This window comes from Homo sapiens, chromosome 6 (genome assembly GCF_000001405.40).
Source record: "Homo sapiens chromosome 6, GRCh38.p14 Primary Assembly".
NCBI lineage: Eukaryota > Metazoa > Chordata > Mammalia > Primates > Hominidae > Homo > Homo sapiens.
Window position 1 is genome coordinate 105,612,337 of NC_000006.12, and position 20,646 is coordinate 105,632,982.

At 40.7% G+C, this 20,646-nt stretch overlaps 1 long non-coding RNA gene across 1 annotated transcript; it reads right to left on the minus strand.

Annotated features, from left to right (window-relative positions):
• Positions 1–174: 174 nt before the first annotated feature.
• LINC02836 (long intergenic non-protein coding RNA 2836) lies at positions 175–19,993 on the minus strand. The gene is made up of 6 exons (XR_942833.3): positions 19,800–19,993; positions 17,565–17,692; positions 10,395–10,452; positions 9,152–9,238; positions 6,998–7,126; positions 175–456 (listed from the first exon to the last, which is right to left on the minus strand). It is a non-coding gene; the product is annotated as a long intergenic non-protein coding RNA 2836 (long non-coding RNA).
• Positions 19,994–20,646: the final 653 nt, after the last annotated feature.

Here is a 20,646-nt window from a genome sequence, read left to right on the forward strand (position 1 = left end):
AGAGAAGCAGTGAGGATAGTTCTTATTCCACAGTCCAGCATGAAATTCTAGAATGATGATTGGCCTTTTCTGTTCACTTTCACTCTCTTGGAGGGAAGGAGGAATGTGAATAATTGAAAAACGAGTTACAACTCAAACAAAACACATATGAATTTGGCTTTGCTCTGTGGTGAATCCCACAACTCGATAGTGCCCTCCACTCTTTTCTGTCTATCCTTAACTCAAACCTCTGTCTAGTTGACCAAGACCCAGCTGGGAGGAGGATCCAGGAAAAGGTTCCAGAGTGGGGATGGGAGAAGGTGCTGGAATGAAGGACTCAAGAGACGCATATGAAGCTCATTTTGACGCTTTATCACTTTGTATTGTTGAGAAATGCTTGTTCTGTCTTCATGCCTGAGGTTTCTTCTTGTCAACTTGGATGAATGGACTATAGAATGTACACATTTCCTGCTTGCACTGTGATTGAAAGTCCCATATAAATAAAAATTAGTTGACCTTTGCATTGTTGCGGTATTATGCCAAATGCAGAAAAGCTTAAGGGTATAATAATAAAAGCTAAAATGGATAAACTAAGTCTGACTTAGAGAATTATCAAAATCTCAAAGCATTTCAGGGACAAAAAATGATTTTTAAAAAGTAAACATTTATATACTTTTAACTCTATATTTTATCACTGTTTCCTCCTACAGCTTATTTAAATGCACATTCCAGTTATAATAATTTTGAGTAAATCCCCCAGTTGACTTGAATGTGTACAAACTTGCTCCTGGCCATTTGAATCTGATGCAATTCAGCAAATTTTGAAATTTGTATTCCAGTTATTCAAGTAAATGAATAGTGTCATTTGATTATTTGACGTGATTTTTTTTTAAAAGCAGTTTTGAAAAACTGCTTCTGGGTATCAATACTAAAATGAAAACACTGGCTAAAATCATAAAAGCAGGAAAATTAATTTCAGGGCATTTTAAGCCTCCTCTGCTTCCTGGGCTCACAGGGCTTCAGAAGTGGAGAATCATTCTCTGATGTCACTGTTCTCTGAAAGCTGATCCATTCAAACCCATATGGTGGACATCTTTGAATCACACACTGGTTACATTTTTCAGTGCCTCAGAAAGCAGAATTTCCCCCCTTTTAATTCTCAAAAGCAAATTTGAATGAACTGTTTTACCCACCTGCAGCTTCCTCTGAGGAATATAACTCTTTAATTCAATTCATAATGTCCTCATATTCTACAACCTCCAAATTATCCTAAATTATTAAATCTTAATTATTTGGGTTTAAAATTAAAATAAACAGTTTTAGTTTTAAATCTAAACCATTGTTACTGATTCTGAGGTGGGAAAATGGAGGACTTTTTTACAGAAGCATCATAAAGATATTACACAAAGCCAGAAAATGTCCCATTTCTTTCTTTCTCTTTTTTTTTCTTTTTTTTTTTTTTTTTCTGAGATGGAGTTTCACCGTTGTTGCCCAGGCTGGAGTACAATGGCACGATCTTGGCTCACTGCAACCTCCACCTCCCAGGTTCAAGTGATTCTTCTGCCTCTGCCTCCCGAGTAGCTGGGATTACAGGCATGTGCCGTCACGCCTGGCTAATTTTGTATTTTTAGTAGAGACGGGGTTTCTCCATGTTGGTCAGGCTGGTCTCGAACTCCCGAACTCAGGTTATCCGCCCACCTTGGCCTCCCAAACTGTTGGAATTACAGGCGTGAGCGACCACGCCAGGCAACTTCCCATTTCTTTAATTCTCTACTGCAATCTACATCTTTGCTAATCAATAGAAAGTCAACATGGTTCCACAGATTTTGGAAATGCAAAAACTTTTGGCTTTTAAAAGCCCCCTTCAAGCAGAAAAATCTATCTGCTGAACAATAAAGACCACATAAGAGAAAATGGAGTGTGGGCCCTCCCTACTGGTTTATGCCTCAGATAGAGGTCCCTGGTGGTAGGGGCCTAGATAGAGAGACAGTGTAATAGAATTGCATTAACACAGTGTCCAAGAGTGCAGAATCCACAAATGGTTGATGGGCAGGCCTCTCCTGGTCTTTGTCTCCACCCTGTCTGGCTCACAACTCTACATTTCTATGGTTGCTTCGCTCCAATTAAACTTCAAGCTCAGCTTCCATCCTATGCAAACACCCTTTAATGTTTCTAGATCTCTTTCCTACCTGCACACATCCTTGTTTTGCATCTTTGTCTTGGAAGGACAAATAGCATGGTTCAGATAATGAAGGTTGTGCAGGAGAGGAAGGTTGAGGAAAAGGTGGAGGATCGTCAGATTCAGAAAATTGTGGTAACTGTAGGGGCTGTCTCGGGATTGGTATGTCATCAGGACAGCACGTACTAAGGCCCAGTCACCCCAAATAGTTACGGGAACATAATTTCCTGTGGAGACCAGTTCCCTGAATGTTGTACCAACAAGATCCCATAGTTCTACATCTAAGGTTCCTTTTTCAGGAAACCAAGGACAGTATTTTTCTACTGACCTGAATAGAGTGAGCATATTTTCCATAGGCACTTAACACCACCCTGTTTTAACAGGAGTTTAATATAGCAGAGATAAGCATGATGCTTACACTCTGCATGATCCATAGTTAACCCAGACCTTACACAGACTACTGACCACTCGTCGGGGAGTCGAACACGCATATCTGTGGACCAAGCCGATTGACGTTTCACTGCACGTACCAAAGGGAATCGGGTTCCCTCATGCATTTAGGAAAAAAGAAAGACCACGTGGGTGCCAGATATCGGGGAACCTGCCCCGATATTCATGTAGGTTCTTTTCTATTTTCCTTAAGCGTCGGCCGGCTTAAGAAATAAAGGGACAGAGTACAAAAGAGCAATTTTAAAGCTGGGCGTCCAGGGGAGACAACACATGTCGGTGGGTTCCATGATGCCCCATAAGCTGCAAAACCCACCAAGTTTTTATTAGGGAGTTTCAAAAGGGGAGGAAGTGTGCGAATAGGTGTGGGTCACAGACATCAAGTACTTTACAAGGTAATAGAATATCACAAGGCAAATGGAGGCAGGGCGAGATCACAGGACCACAGGACCGGGGCAAAATTAAAATTGCTAATGAAGTTTCGGGCACCATAGTCATTGATAACATCTTATCAGGAGACAGCGTTTTGAGATCAACCGGTCTGACGAAAATTTATTAGGCGGGAATTTCCTCTTCCTAATAAGCCTGGGAGCGCTATGGGAGACTGGAGTCTATTTCACCCCCGCAGTCTCAACCATAAGAGATGGCCATGCCCAGGGGAGCCAGTTCAGAGACCCACCCCTAGGTGCGCATTCTCTTTCTCAGGGATGTTCCTTGCTGAGAAAAAGAATTCAGCGATATTTCTCCCATTTGCTTTTGAAAGAAGAGAAATATGGCTCTGTTCCGCCAGGCTCACCAGTGGTCAGTTTAAGGTTATCTCTCTTGTTTCCTAAACATTGCTGTTATCCCATTCTTTTTTCAAGGTGCCCAAATTTCATATTGCTCAAACACACATGCTGTACAATTTGTGCAGTTAATGCAATTATTACAGGGTCCTGAGTCGATATACATCCTCCTCAGCTGACAGGATTAAGAGATTAAAGTAAAGACAGGCATAGGAAATCACAAGGGTATTGATTGGGGAAGTGATAAGTGTCCATGAAATCTTTACAATTTATGTTTAGAGATTGCAGTAAAGACAGGCATAAGAAATTATAAAATTATTAATTTGGGGAACTAATAAATGTCCATGAAATCTTCACAATCCATGTTCTTCTGCCATGGCTTCAGCCGGTCCATCCATTTGGGGTCCCTGACTTCCCGCAACAAACATGGTTCCACAGATTTTGGAAATGCAAAAACTTTTGGCTTTTAAAAGCCCCCTTCAAGCAGAAAAATCTATCTGCTGAACAATAAAGACCACATAAGAGAAAATGGAGTGTGGGCCCTCCCTACTGGTTTATGCCTCACATAGAGGTCCCTGGTGGTAGGGGCCTAGATGGAGAGACAGTGTAATAGAATTGCATTAACACAGTGTCCAAGAGTGCAGAATCCACAAATGGTTGATGGGCAGGCCTCTCCTGGTCTTTGTCTCTACCCTGTCTGGCTTACAACCCTATATTTCTATGGTTGCTTCGCTCCAATTAAACTTCAAGCTCAGCTTCCATCCTATGCAAACACCCTTTAATGTTTCTAGATCTCTTTCCTACCTGCACACATCCTTGTTTTGCATCTTTGTCTTGGAAGGACAAATAGCATGGTAGAATTTTTGGACTGAAATTAAGATGTGGTTCTAAAAGTACATAATGTCACCATGTACTCATGAGCTTTTGATTCATGCCTCATTCCATCTGTGGGGACAGCCCACTGTTTGCACCAGGCTAATTGCTACATATCCTGTAAGACCTGGTGATGCCTCATATGCCCTGTGGAGCCTTTCCAACTCTCCCTTCCTCTGGGCTTCCCACATATCCTGGGCAACTTCCACCATAGCTTTTGATAGACTGTTATGTGCTACATTGTGTCTCTTCCAAATTACTATGTTGAAGGACCCCCAAGACCTCAGTGTCACTGTATTTGAAGATAAGGTCTTTAAAGAGGTGACAAAGTTAAAATAAGGCTGTTAACATGGGCTCTAACCTAATATGGTTGGTGCCCTTACAAGAAGAGGGAGAGACACCAGAGCTGCTCCCTCATAAGGAAAGACCACGTGAGGACACAGAGAGAAGCCAACTATCTGCAAGCCGAGGAGCAAGACCTCAGGAGAAACCAAAGCCCAAACCTGCTGACACCTGGATGGGGCTTCCAGCCTCCAGAACTTGTGAGAAAATACATATCTGCTTGTTTAAGCTGCCCAATCTGTGGTATTTTGTTATGGCAGCCCTGGCAAACTCATATACAATCCTATGAATTGTTGCCTTATCTATCTCTACTTCTGTATTGTGAATACTCTCTCTCTCTCTCTTTTTTAATGAGACAGAGTCTTACTCTGTCCCCCAGGCTGGAGTGCAGTGGTATGATCTCGACTCACTGCAACTTCTGCCTCCCAGGTTCAAGCGATACTTGTGCCTCAGCCTCCCGAATAGCTGGGACTACAGGTGCACACCACCAGACTCTGCCAATTTTTTTTGTATTTTTAGTAGAGACAGGGTTTCACTTTGTTGGCCAGGCTGGTCTGTAACTCTTGGCCTCAAGTGATCTGCCCGTCTCACTTTCCCAAAGTGCTGGGATGTATTGTGAATACTCTTAAAAGGCATTTCTCTATTTACAAAACTTAGCAGAATGCCTGGCACATGTCAAGAAACGTTTGTTGAATGAATAAATAAAGAAGCATCTTCCTGACTCTGATCAGCATCTAATCACTTGCTCCCTTATTTTCCTCCCTACTTGTATCTATTCTTTACCATCCTAATACTAACAGTTTGAACACTTGTCTGTATCTCACACCTAAGTCCTTAATGCTGTTGGGTTTATTCCTAGCCTTCAGAGGTGTCACAGGAGACATCAGTGGTATCTGGAGCCACTCTCCAGACACGGGACATCCACACAGAACTTGGGCTCTGTGGTTTCACATCATGGCAATATACTGAGCCAACAGATTCCAATGAGTACAACCAGCAAAATCATGGTCCATATGCCCCTTTCCTAGAAGCCAAGCTAGCAACTCAACCTTGAGGCAGCTGAAACTGCTCCTAAGAAGAGCCTCTTGTGGCTGCTAGTTCTCAAGTAGGTGATTAAAATGAGAGAGGAGGTAGCCTGGTTACTGACCAAGTAAATATCAAAAAAAGGGTTGAAAGTCAGCTCTGCAGAAAATTGGGAGCTGCCTCACATTCTGAAGTCATTACTCCAAGAAAGTCCTCTTACATCCAGAGTTTTCTTTCTTCTCAAATTATGGGATACCTACATATAACCACTCAGAAAGATCACATTTGTGAGAATAAAACATGATTATACCTCAAAAACATTTCCTTTCAGGATCACTCTGCTCAAGTCTCCTGGGCCCCAGTGAATTCTGATTGAAGAAGAGCCCTGGAGTAGTTACACATCCATAAAGGCTCTATTTGTTTTTATATGTACTTACCCTCTGCCTGACTCTGCCATTCTTGCTTAAGAAACATTATGTTGAAATGGAATGATATTTTATGTGAGCGAGGGTGTGGGGTGAGTCCTCTTGTAAAAGGGTGGCCTTGTCTTGATACAAGTAGACTCAGGATGACCCAGGCTCTGGATCTTGGTTAGCAAAGTTTGCAGTGGACAGTGTTTGAATCCAGTGTTTGAAGGAATATTTCCTCCTGTAACATGGTTTTGTAATGGAAAGTCATTTTATTTTCAGGTCCCATTTTGTTTTGTAGGTTTTTTTTTTTTTTTTAATCCCAGCTTAAATAGTAAGTCTAACAATCACAAATTCTTTTCCATGGATGTTTAAGAGTAGAGTTCTTTTAATGTTCCAATGATACTGAAATACTTTGTACCAGTTTCTTTTGCATTCCCAAGAAGTGTTATAATGCAGACTGCACGCTTAAAAGAAGGAATGTTCTAAGTTTTAGTCCAAGATGCCCTGAGGTGAGAAATCAAGAACAAGGATCTCGTCTATGACTTGAGATAATAATGAGGATCCTTCAATAAATTCCTAGGGCTGTCTCTTATAGGGACTCAATCAAGTCAACTCCATATTAAATGTCTGTTGTTGTGCAAGGCATAATATGAGTGCCTTGAGAGCCATAAAGAACAAAAATCTTTGAAATGTTTCTAACCCTCAGGAGTTTACAGCAAAGTTAGGAACAAAAATTTGAATCACGATCAAGCTTTTAATAAATCTAAATAAAAATAAAATATTTCAATAGCAGCTCAAAATAAAAAGAGACAACAGCTTTCACAAGGCTGTCCATGGTTAATTGCCAAGTGAATTCTACAAGCAGAAAGTGCCCAGACCTCAAAGAGGGCAGGCCCAGGAAGGCATCTTTCAGGACAGGCAGAATGTAGGTAGGCTGGCAGGAGGCAAAACAAACCCACCTGCTTCTTGTTGGGTTGTGAGGTCAGGCTGATCTGAGCTCACCTCCACCAAGGGTGACCTGGGACAAGTTCTCTTCCACTCTGAGTTTGTCTTCTCACAAGAAAACAGGTAATAAACTCCGCGCCTACCTTTGAGTTGTTGTGAGGAGTAGATGAGAGCTGTGTAAGTAAATTATTGGCATAGAGTCTCACACATATTACATCTTTTTTGTTTTTGTTTTTGTTTTTGGGACAGAGTCCAGGCTGGAGTGCAGTGGCGCTATCTCGGCTCACTGCAAGCTCCGCCTCCCAGGTTCACGCCATTCTCCTGCCTCAGCCTCCCTAGTAGCTGGGACTACAGGCGCCCACCACTGCGCCTGGCTAATTTTTTGTATTTTTAGTAGAGGTGGGGTTTCACCGTGTTAGCCAGGATGGTCTTGATCTCCTGACCTCGTGATCCGCCCGCCTCAGCCTCCCAAAGTGCTGGGATTACAGGCGTGAGCCACCTCGCCCAGCCACACATTACATCTTATGATACCAGACATCATATTATGTATTGATTATGTCTTTTAGTTTATTGTCTGTTTTTCCTACTCCAAAATAAACTCATGGAGGGTAGGTATTTAGTATTGTTCCACTCTTGGATCCATACTGTCTATGTTACTAGCTGGCACACAATAAATACCTAGTACATATCTGTTGAATGAATAAAATCAATGAATAATTAATTTAAACCAAAAAAAAAACAGCAAAGCTCATATAATTGTCCAACCATATCTTTTTCATATTTTTTTCTCATCTCTGTCCATTTTCTTCAACTTCGTGAGCAATAAGAGATGTTGCAAGCAACAGGCTAAGTTCCAAAAGGAGCAAGATCATTTGGAAGTTGTCCCTATGAGTTAATGGCTACTAAAACTCGGATTATTTGCCTTGAGAAGAGTAGATAATGCAATGGGAAAATAGTTTGTCTTCCCATTTCCTCCTCCTGCATTTGCTCCTCCCCATTGGCTCCTGATCATACCTGTGCCCCATAGGCCCCTCTTACCATCAATGTCTAAAAATAAGGGACAGAGACAAATTGTGGGGAGAAAACAAATGGTTTCCCATGTAGACCTTCTAAGTCCCACGGAGAGAGGGTTGGAATGTTACTTCCTTTTTCTCTAACGTACCTCAATGCCCTATTTTTAAGCCTGAGGATGAGTGAGTTAGCCAAGCCATGCCAAATGAAGCATGACGGTTACAAAATGTTATGTTTTCCGTGACATTAGGTCAAGCAGCAGTGACGTTCTGCTGGAGATCACTTGGCTGTACGTAAAAGTCCCTGTCACCATCACTGGAGACAGACTTATTTTGACCTAATTTTTTGTCCCATTATAATTTTGTAAGCTTAATTAAATTTGGTATGTTTCAAGAACATGGACTATCACTAGCGCTGGGGGGAGGAGATGAACAATCAACTTTTTATTATCTCACGTTGGTGTGTGACCAGCTAAAGAATCTCATTAAAATCTTATTTGCAGGAAATGGACTCATTTATAGCTCCCCACTTGGTAGTATGTTTGTTACTAGAGCAGAGGGGAGGTAAAGTGAGTCACAAAATGTCAATGCTGGATCGTGTGAGCATCCTCCCAGACTGCAGATTGCTGACACCTCATTGTGTTCTGTGTGTGTGACACAAAGCTCTGATCCATGTACACTCTAACCCCTCAGATAAAATCCTGTCCCCAGACCTGCAAAACCCATTATTGCCTAAGAAAAGCCAGAATTACTGAATGTTTTCCTTTCTTCTGACTTAAAATGCACGTCATCAACCACGTAAAGGAAAAGAACAATGCATGAAGTATCCTCTGGGGTTTCTCACCCTTTCTAAGATATTTTCATAATGAGTTTCTGCTTAAAAATTGTTTCATCAGAGGATATTGATGCTCCTGTGTGAGACCTTCTAGAGCTTCAAAGAAATAAAATCCAAACATCTCTGGGACATCTTGTGGGGAGATTGATTAAAAAACTTGGGTGTTTTTGTTTTTCATGTGAAAAATATCTTAGAGTCTACATGAGGATCTTTCTGGACTTTATGTAAATATTTTATAATATTATATATTAGTCAGGATCCTGGCAAGAACAAAATCCACCCCAGAAGTTTCCATAAAGACAGTTTGATAAATGCCTACTTACAGGTTACAAGCAGGTTAAAGAAACAAACAAGGGATGTTGAGGCACCCAGAGACTAGCGACAGTGGGAAGCTGTTCTTGTACTTCGGCCTAAAGAACAAGAGGAGGAAATAGTGCTGCTTGAATCCAGTGTAAGCTAGTAGAGGCTACAGCCACTGTCAGAGACCCACCCAGGGAAGGTAGGAGCCCTGGAAGAAATACTCTGATTGCTATCTCCTTCCACCCCGATCTCCTGCTGGTGCTGCTCATTGGACAAATTTCAATGTAAGCCAGTGTCACGGGACCCTGGGTAACAAAGCCTATAGGGTTCAGCTTCCCAGGACAGACCAGCAGGGAGAAAGGCCAAATATTAATCTGTTTAGCATAGTACTCTTTATACTCAATGATCTTGTTCAAAATTATGTCATTATTTGCCAGGGCTTATGATAAATTTGCAGCCCATTATCCTGGCGCTTTCTCTTTATCCTGACCTCCTTTGTGACTCTGTGATCTGCACATATATTCTCGGTCCTGAACAGTTTTCTCTGTGCAATGCTAACTCTTCTCTGTTGAGATTAATCCCGATCTCCATATCAACTAAATAAATTTTAAAGTTATGAAAACTGTGAAAGTCCTTCTTCACTCTCATGAAATTTTAAATTCATAATCTCTTGGCTTGGCATAGTTTCATTACTTCAAGGACATTAAAACATTTTACTTTCATTATCTCATAGATTTTTTTACCATATCTCTCTTGGGTAGGCATCTTGGTATAGTACCTAGTACAGTGATACATGAAAATAGACGTTTAATAAATGCTTGCTAAAGGGATGATCACCATCAAATGCCCCTTATGCAGATACGGGAGCTCATGCTGAAAAGTTAAGCAACCTGGCCAATATCTCGTGATGTGCCAATAGGGATATAAACCAAGTCAGAGGGCTTACCCTGAATATGCTCTCTCCAAACTGAGATTTTGCTAAGCAGGGCAGGAATTTGAAGAAGGGTTCATTTTCTTCCTGTACTTTGACCCAATGTTAACAACAGTTGAGATAGACAGGGCATGGTTTTTCAACTGATTTGTTTACTAGATTGTCAAAGAAATATATGCCCATTACTTTTTCTTAATCATTAGACATGAAATGTCATCAACAGGAACAAAAAGTTGAGCTATACACGTATAGGAATTGAACTGAACTGTGATGGTTTTTTATTTCCGGGATGAGTAAAAGGAAAAATAAAGTGGGGATTTAAACCTAAGATTTACCTGGAAATCAGTTACAGACAGCTTTTTCTTATCAATGGAAATAAAGGACAGGAAGGAGCTGAAAAAGTAAATGTTTACAGTTTTATCTCCACAGCTGTTATAAACTCATCTTCAACCAAACCTCCCACTGTGTTCCAAAGTTCTCAATGATGATTTTTCTTGCATGTCACTGTCTTACTAAATATCTGGTGGAGGATTCATATAGAGAAGGAAAAGCTGAGGGACCTGGATTCACTGCCCGCCAGATCAAATCTTTGTGGAATAATACCAATCAGGTAGATTAAGTTTTGTAAATAGGGTAAGTCATCCATTGCCATGAAAACATTTGCAGATGAGGTGGGTCTGTATTTTTGGAAGCACCCTCGGTGCCTTCCTTTGGAGAGTGTGCTACCAGCCGACATAATTTGTAGATGGTGTCTTGTGTGCACAGCTTCGTGGTGGGTGTGATATTATAAGAGAAACCAACTGAGACCACCGTTTTCAGAATCACATTGATTTTAAATCAGTTATACCCAGTTTCTAAATAACTTATGTTCTTTGACTGGGTATTATCTTTATTTTCTTCCTCTTTCTCTTCATACTCAGAATCACATGGAATCCTATTTCCTACATAGGAAATATTCCTGTCTCTTGAATGTGACCTTTATCCTCACCATCTCCTTTGCTTAAACCGGGTTACTATCTACCAGTTCTCATGTGGGCCATCACAGGCCATATTCTTAATTAGCCTCTCTCTCTCCACATTCCCACCTCAACCTCCTTCACAAGGCAAACATCTTTGTTGTTTAAAAATACAAATATATTCAAGTCCACCATTGCTAGCTTAAAATGCTTCAGAGGTTTCCCATGGCCTTGAAATTCAAACCTTAACATCATTCTCTTCATGCTTTTTAGCTTTCCCTCACACTATTCTGTACCTCAAATTCCCTTTTGTCCGCAAAATAAAGCCCAAAACTCAAGGCCTGTCATAATCTGATCACAGCCTGTTTCTTCAGCTTCATTTTGTACTACTCTCTTCTTTACCATCTATATCCAGGGGTGAAATCATTGAGGCTCCAGGGAAATATCTTTGTGGCATGTGAGTAAGAGGAAATTATAGAAGACATTAGTTACAACTGAGCTACCAAACTAGATAATACACTTCCTAAAACTGATGATATTGAAAGGGCCAAAGCTAAACATTCTTTCTAGGAAGATGTTATTTACCAAATTAATGATGAATTTCCTTAAAGCCTTATTTGAATCTTCCAATATTCTTTGTTTTTCCAAAACACAAAAACTAATCTACAAACTACTCTAGATGGGTTGAGAATGAAGTGAAATAAAACCCGAGTCAGATAGCAAACTTAATTGTGGGGCTACATTCCATCCAGAGAAGAATAATAAAAACTAGCAACAAAATTTCTTGGAACTAACATTTCAGGTCTCTGCCACTTCAGATGACCCCTTTATCTTTCATAGACAGATAAGACATTATTGCAAAAAGGAGGACGCTTTGTCTTCCAGATGGAACCCTAAGAACTAAGGTCCTGCTTGCCAAAGAATCATGGCTCAACATGTTGAGTAACCAAGACTTCTTATCTCTTATCTCTTCTCCAAAGATAGTACTTTTATTGCTACAATTTATGCAAAAACTTTCAGGCTAAAATATATATGTGCATATACTTATATGCGTGCATATGTATATATGTATAAAGATAGAGACTCAAGGGAAAATATTGATAGAGAAAGAGATAGATAGATAGATAGATATAAATGGAAATTTAATATGGAAGGTCAACTATTAAATGACTTGTCTATACCCAGCCTTTGCCACATTATTCTAAGCATAGGGAATAAAGGACAAGGTTCTGTTCCTAGGAAAGTTTACAATATTTGATGGAAGTTGGGCCTGAGGGAAGGAGAAGCATTATGGGCAAATGTTGGAGGGGGTGAGGTGGGGAGGTGGCTCAGATTTGCCAACTGCCTACTATGAACAGATGCTGTGATTAGATCTGTTATATGAGGGTATCTCATTTAATTCTTACCAAATCAGTGCATGAAAGTGATATCTCTGTTTTCCAGATGAGGAAACTGAGGGTTGGAGGAAGAGCCCAATGAAAGGGCAGTCCCATTGAGTAGCTGTCAGAGAATCGTTTAAAAGAGACTTAAGACATTTTGCAATTAATCAGGAATGTGGTGTTTGTTAACTTAAAATAATTTTATTGCATGGTTGCTTACATAACTGGTAAAGTGTAAATTGGTCCCCTTCTGCTCAGCACATGTATTACTCTCTTACGTGAATTTAACCATACAACAGAAAGAAGTTTACACGTATATTTTAACAATTTCCTCACTGCCTTTTAAGGAAGATAGAGTCTGGTACTGAGCGTTGGTTCTTTGATTTGTTGAGTTCAACAAAATTGATATTCTCAGGAAAATGGTCTTTGACATAGCTGAAGGTTTATATCATTCTGCGAAGGAGATTCCAAGCTTAGAGAGAGAGGCTGAGGTAAGATTAAGTTGCTCTGCCAAGAAAGGGAGAGAGATTTCAGGAGGTGTAAGACCTGAGAATACGGTGTCAGAGTTGGGAAGGTTGAGGCCTGAAAGAGAAAAGGGAAGGGGGGGGGGGGGAAAGAGAGAGAGAGAGAGAGAGACTTGGGCAAGGGGTCTATTCAAAGGGGCTTCTCAAGTTGCAGGCTGTGTGGGAGGGCTGGTTCAGGGTTTTCTTCTCTTGTGTCTCCCACGGGGCCAATGCAGTGCCGAAAAATATATAATGTCAATAAACGCTGAATTGGATTGAATCAAGATTGCCAAAGAAGAGGAAATAAAAGAGAAAAATCAAAGTGACCAATGAGAAGCAGGGTATTTGCAGTGTGATCATCCTCCATACTTCTGGAAGCAGTAGATTTTGTTAAAGTCTTCACCAAATATATGAGTCTACAAGGGTCATTAATGTTTTTGACTTGGGGAAACTGGAGTCATAGGACAAGAAGGTGGACATACTGTTCAAAACAAAGGAATGTGGAATTTTTGTTATTAGAAAGTCAGTCTCTCCAATTCTCACTAAATAAAGATAAGTATCTAAAACCTATCCATTTGAAGGGGAAGCTGGTCATCATCCTGCCCGATGCACTGATGTCTCTGTCAGGTCTTATCTCTGGCAAAACAACCAAGCCAGGCAGGCAACCATTGGCAGAGAGGCCTCATACCCAGCCCTGATTTCTTTCACCACACACGACCTCTTGTACCATGGGAACAATTCAGAACTTGGAGAGGGGAAACTTAGTTTTAAATCTCAGCTCTACTACTTACTAGGGTTTAAATTAGTATAACTGAATCTAAATTAGGCTCTCTGGGTCTGCTGCCCCTATCTGTGAACTGTGAATAATCAAACATTTCAGTCTATCTCACAGGTCACTTTCAAGACTCATATGAAATAACAAATGAGAAAGTATTTTGTAGACCATACAGAACTTTAAGCGACTGGGCCAGCTAATCCTGCAGAAATACCTGAACAATCATGAACATACTTGCTCTGAAAGGAGAGATCCTGGGTCCGCATAAACTGATGTTACCGAAGAGTATTAGTCACTTGGCAAATGCCGAAATTACCACTATGAAAATAAAACAAAAAAATCCAAAGCAAAACAACCAAAAACAAACAAACAAAAAAGCAAGACAAAAACCAAACATACACATCCAAGAGATTAGGCCTCTTGTTTTTACAGTTAGCATTAAAGTTTAGTTTAGTCATGTGACTTGGTAAATAGTTCAGTATTCTCTTTTTGACTCAGTTTGGTTCCTGGAACTGTGGCAGGAAGAAACAAAATGGGATTCAATAGAGTGTTTAGCATGAAGTTCATTAGGTAGTACCTTTCTCCTAATAATGCTGGGCATTCTGGAAGTCATTTTGAACAACCTGAATGGCAAGTATTGCTGTGAAAGCCTTCCTGGTTTCTTGTGTGTCTGAAGTAAGAAGGATTGAGTTTGGTGCTTTGAGCCAGTGACAAGAAGTCCTCAGTCTTATCATTACTCCCATCTTGGTACCTGCAGACCCAATGTAAACTCTCTTGACCTTGACTGAGATGGCATGATCTTTTTCCTTCTATTTCAGAAGACTTTTTTAGGTGTAAAAATACAAGTACTCTATGAAATCTGATTTCTATTCCTCAAGATAGAGAGGAACAGTGAGTCTCACTACAAATTTGTTTCAAGGCTCTTCCCACTCATATCGCTTTTTTTTTCAGACATGAGAGACTGCTGAGTCAAACCAATAACTAGGTTAGCATTTCTCTTCTTTAACCAGCCAATAAAATAAAAGCAATTAAGCAATAGAAGGTATGGAGAAACTTCAGGCAACATAGCAGGTTTTTAAAGTTATATCTTGTGGATTTCTTATCCCTAGAGCACAGGAAATATTAGTGCCAGGAAAATCTACATTTATGTCTCCCTTAGGCATGTATTCCTATAATAGCCAATTTAAGATTTTCGAAAAATTGTGCTTTTCCTAAAACATATGAAAAATGAATCAGCTGTGGTACCACTCCTGGGGATTGTGTTTGTCATAAGAAAGGATTTGTATTACACCATCAGACACTTTAATTTCCATGCCTAATATATTTTGTCACATTTTCACTACCTCCTAATTGAAATGAGGCTGAGCAACTGTCAATTTGGATGGCTTTTAAAGGCTGGAGGATAATCATCAACCTGTTTCCAAAGCACTTCAATGAGTGAGTGCATGTAGACCATGTCAACACAAGCCTTGGAGAACACACTCTCAGAGGGCTGAGACAGGGTTTTCCTTCTCTTATATTTCCCATAGGGTTGACGCAGCACCAAAAATATAAGATGTCAATAAATGCTGAACTGGATTGAATCAAGACTGCAAAAGGAGACAAAATACAAGAGACAAATCAAAGTGACAAATGGGAAACAGGGCATTGAGGAAACAAAAAGACAGAAGCCAAACCATTCTTTAAATAGGAAGTACAAAGGGTACCAATCAAAAGTCAACCCCATTGAGGCCTTTTGGATAAGTTCCTTTTCCTTTTCCTATTGACCTCCCTATGGATCTGTTCTTCCACTGATATCATTGACCTTGATCAACTATCAAATTCCAACCCATCCTTTAAAACCTATCTCAAAATCACCTTCCCTGGGAAGGCTTTCTTGATGTCCCCAGAAAAAGTGAGTTGCTTCCTTTCCTGTGAAGTTTCTACCTTCCTAGGACTTTGTCCTTGATTTTGTCTCAGGACTTATATGTTTACAGTTTCTTTACACATCTGTCTCTTCCATCCTCTTTGCCTCCAGACTCAGGTTATAACTTTACTGAAGATCTAACTTTCTTTTTCCTATCTGCATCAACTATCTATGTAACCAATCCCTAACCCAGTCTCTGGCCCACAGGAAGTGCTCCATAAATGTTTACTGAACAATGCACAAGGTAGCTTCCATTTGTAGGCTCTATTAGATGTATCAAAATGCAAAAGGAGCTTTTTGAGTGTCTGCTTGAACCCCAAGAAGGCTACAGCTCTTTCTCAACAGGCAAGAAGAGAAACATGTTAGACGCAGAAGAGTGACCTACATAGGCTTCATTCTTATCTCAATGTGTGAGCCACAACCCAGCACACCAAATGGTTCACATCCCTGTAGAACAAATGAAACCAATAGACACTCGTGATAGGGAAGTTCTTTCAAAAGACTCACTGTCCTGCTTACATCAAGATGCAATATGGGATCACTCTCTACACTGCTTTCTCAAGGGCCTGGTTTAATTTGGTTTTAAAATAACCACTACAGAGAGGGTTCCATGAATTCCCTAAGATGGCTGTCTCCTAAATTAGTGGACTTCTAGGGATCTCTTGTATAAATAAACAGTTTGTGACACTGAAACAGGGCTAGGCCACTTTGGTATTTGTCTGTGCGCAGCTTAACTGAAACATAGCTGGACTTGGAACGTGTTTATACAAACTAGCTAATCCTACTAGGTCATCATGACCTGCAATCACCCTGCTCTTCCCAGCCCATATTCGTCGTGTGCCCACCAAGGCAGTAGCTTCATAATGAGGAGGAGTTTCCATTACAGAGGCAGGTAGGACCCCTGCACTGCTTTCCTTTCACTCAAGCAACCCACGCCTCCCTGTATCTAAAACTCCCACTCTCCTTGATAAAGAAAAAACACAAAGAGCACCAACTTCCGAAGGGCTGCTGTGCTGAACTTGAGAGAAATCTTCTCTTTGTTACCAGTTGGGTCAGACTTAGAAACTCTTAAACCGGAGGTCTACTGCACTGTGTGGTGGCAGTCACTTTGCTTAAGTAGAGCTTTGTGGCCACTCATGATAATTCCAGTTACTAAATAGTTCACTTATACAAATGTCAATGATACTCCAATATTGTGATACTCCAATAGGCTTGCAAAGTCATACTTTGAAATCACGGCATATCTTAAAATATTCTGCATTTAGAATCTGACAGAACCTAAACTATATTTTCTTCAAATGTCTCTTGTAAATTTTTGAACAGCCTGAGGATTCTGAGGGGATATTAATGCATGTGTTTTTGATTCATTTACTCTCATACCATTAAAATCCTGTATTATAAGAACTAGCTGATGTTCAAGAAACTAGTTAAAATTTTAAATAATCTTTGTAAAGGCTTTCTTCTTAACAACAGGAAGATGTGTTTGCCAAAAGAAAATGAACTCAAACACTAGAAAATCTGGGTTTGATTCAAAACTAACCCGGGAGGTTTAAAAGGGCCATAAATTTGGTGAGTGAGATGAGTTGAGTTTCCATATACTACATATCCATATGCCGTGTTGATACTCGGTGTGCACATGCTATCTCACACGTGCTGATGTATAGTGTTAACATTTGAAAGGTCAGAGACAGTTGGCAGGTTAGGTTGGAACAGGGTTCTAATGAGGTCAAGATTCCAGACCTGAGCATGGAGTGCCACTTCTCTTAAACCAACCACTTGCCATTAATGAGCTCAGCAGCCTTGGGCTACTCTGATTCAGTCCAATCTAAGTTTATTGAGGCCTACAAAGCGCTGGCACTGTACTTGGCACTGGGGCTACTACAAGGGCTACAACCTAATCCCTACACTCAAAGAGCTCACAGTCCGCCAAGAGAAACAAACAAGTAAATGCACAAAGGCAGCACATAAGAAAGAGGGAGGACTTACCAATCCTTGAGGGTCGATGAAGGCTTCATGGAGCCAGTGTTTCCTCCTCTTTCAAGCCTCAGCACAAGCATTTCCCTCTTCTGTATGGATTTCTCTAGGCAGATGTAGCTGTTCCTTTCTCTACAGTCCTAATGTACATGAAATAGACCTCCCTTATGAGCAATCAAGAAAATCTGGTGAATAGATAGCAAGGATTATACAGAATTATAGAGTTTGGAGAGGAGAAAAGCATACCAAAGGAATTGGGAGAGGACATTGGAAGGAAGGACTAGTGGATGAAGAAATAGCAGGAAATAAGGCCAGGTAGGTAGAACACTAGAATGTAACTCTTGAAGATTTTACTATGGGAAAAGTTTGGATTTCATTTGGTAGCCCGTGGGGACTTGTTGAGGCTTTTAAGAACTGGACCTGTGTTTTAGCGAGACCCACTTGATGGGCTGTTTGGATGGGAAAGAAATGAATCTAGAGGCCATGAGACCAATTGGAAATCTAGTGCCACTATCTAGGCAGAAGCCAAGGATAGCCTGAACTTAAGGAATAGCGGGAAGGATGGAGAGGAGAGAGTGGATCCAAGAGACGGCTAAAGGGCACAACCAGTGAGGTTTGAAGGATGATTGGATGTGGGGTGAGGGAAGAAGGAGTCCTCCTTCTCCTTTGGGACACTAGGTGAATGGTGGGATTACCAGTCAGCACAGGCAGTGTGGAAGAAATTGCAAAACTGAGTGGGAGGAAATGTAAGAAGTTCAATTTCAGAAGTAATGAATTTCAGTTTGTAATGGACATTCATTGAAGACAATGTCCATTGTGTAATAAGAGATAAGGTGCTTCTTCAGGAGCTTGGGGAACTGAGATATGAGATTAGAGATGGAGATGGAGAGGAAGATGGACATGGAGGTGGACAACGGTGTCTAGCTAGAGCAGAGAGAGTGAGAAGAGAATAGGAATGCAGCAGGAAAACACTCAAGCATCCCAACATTTAAGAGGTGGACAGAGAAATTGATTCAGTGAGGATTCTGAGAGAGAATGTTCAGAGAGGTAGAAGATGAACCAAGAGAAGGTACTGCTAGAGGAGATAAAGAAGGAGGGAGGGAGTGGTCAGTCATGTCAAATGTGACCTAGGAAGGTCAAGAAGGGAAGGGACTGAGAGGAGTCCACCGAATTTTGTATGGGGGGTAATCAACAACTTTACTGAGAGCAGGTGTCAGAAGCAAAGACATGTTTTCAGAGGAATGAGAAAGAAGAGAGAACTGTGCCTTTCGTTGAGAAGTTTGAAGACAATAGAATGGAGAGTGATGAGGGGTCAAAACTTGGAGGGTTTTTCCTTCATGTAGAATGGGTAAGATCTAGAAATGTTTAGAGGCTGAAGAAAGAAAGAGTAAACACAATGTCTCCAGGATGGAGAGAATGAGCACAGCAGAGGGGCTGGTCTACCCAGGAGCCTGACACCTCAGCCACCCAGGAGAAATTTCTTCCTCAGCTTTTGGAGTAATGAATTATGGTGTTTTCATGCCAAACATTTTATTCCATTATTCATCTAAAGTCTTCCCATTTCCCCACTTAAAAACATCTTTAACTTTGTTTTTAGATGTGATGCCAACTCTCTGTGAAATGATGTGGAATTGGGGGCATGGTCATGGTGCAGTTAAATGAGTCTTTGGGGAGGACTTGGGTAGAGTCCCAGCTCTATCACCTATATATTACCTGGCCTCCCTGGGTCTCATTTCCTCCTGTTTACTCAACCTATCCAACAGGGTTACTAAAGGATCAGATGAGACAAGGTCTATGAAATCCCTTGGTAAACTAGTGCAAGACAGTGTTAGCAATTGCATTCCATTTTGTGGCACATGGTCTGTCTTCTCCTGTCTTACTGCCAGGGCTGGTTTAAGTAAGGTAATACATTTGCATAAAGCCCTTGAACAAGGCTTGGCACAAATAAGTTCAAAATAAAACTGAAAGATCATCAAGCCCTCTCCCCTATTTCCACCATGCCTCAGAAGCCATCCAGATGCCATGCTGCCTTCTGTAGTGATCCATGCGACACATCTTCTGCACTTTTGCCCTGCCCAGAATGAATACTCATTGGTCTCGTGTCACATTTCCTCAGACCCACCCTTCTTAGCAGTTATTACCGTGAAACACAACGATTTAGCTAATTCTCACTACAGCAGAGATGACTGATAATAATATAAGTGATTACTCCTCCAAAGAATATTTACAGTTTAGAATGGCACAAACCTTTAGCCAAGAGAGAAACCCGCTAATGGTAAAATATCAGGTAATATGTTAGGCACACTGCAAATTAAATGGAATTCAAGCGTGGTATATTTGAGATGACTAGCATTTTCCAGCATAGATGGAAAATCAAAGCTGAATGTTGCTTGGGAGTATTCTATGTTAGAATTCTCATTATTCGTAGTCACATTAACCATTTGTTTATATCACAGCCCTTCCTGAAAAGGACTTGAGTCATCTTACAATAAAATACAAGTATACAAAGAGTTTAATAAAATCAAAATAGAAAATCAAGACTATGGAAAGGGAAAAATATATAGAAAATATTTTAAATGTAGAAACATAAGAAAAAATCCTAATATTCATATGGAACCACAAAAGACCCCAAATAGCCACAGCAATCTTGAAAAAGAAGAACAGGCCTGGAGGTATCATATTCCCTGATTTCAAACTCTATTATACAGCTACATTAATTAAAATAGTATGGTACTGGCATAAAAACAGACATACGAACCAATGGAACAGAATAGAAATTCCAGAAATAAACCCATGCATCTGTGGTCAACTAATCTTCAGCAAAGGGGCTAAGAACACATAATGGGGAAAGGAAGTAATCCCAGCTCTTTGGGAGGCTTAGGCAGGCAGATCATGAGGTCAAGAGATCAAGACCATCCTGGCCAGCACGGTGAAACCCCATCTCTACTAAAAATACAAAAATTAGCTGGGCATGGTGGTGTGCACCTGTAGTCGCAACTACTTGGGAGACTGAGGCAGGAGAATTGCTTGAACCCGGAAAGCAGAGGTTGCAGTGAACCGAGAACATGCCACTGCACTCCAGCCTAGCGGCAGA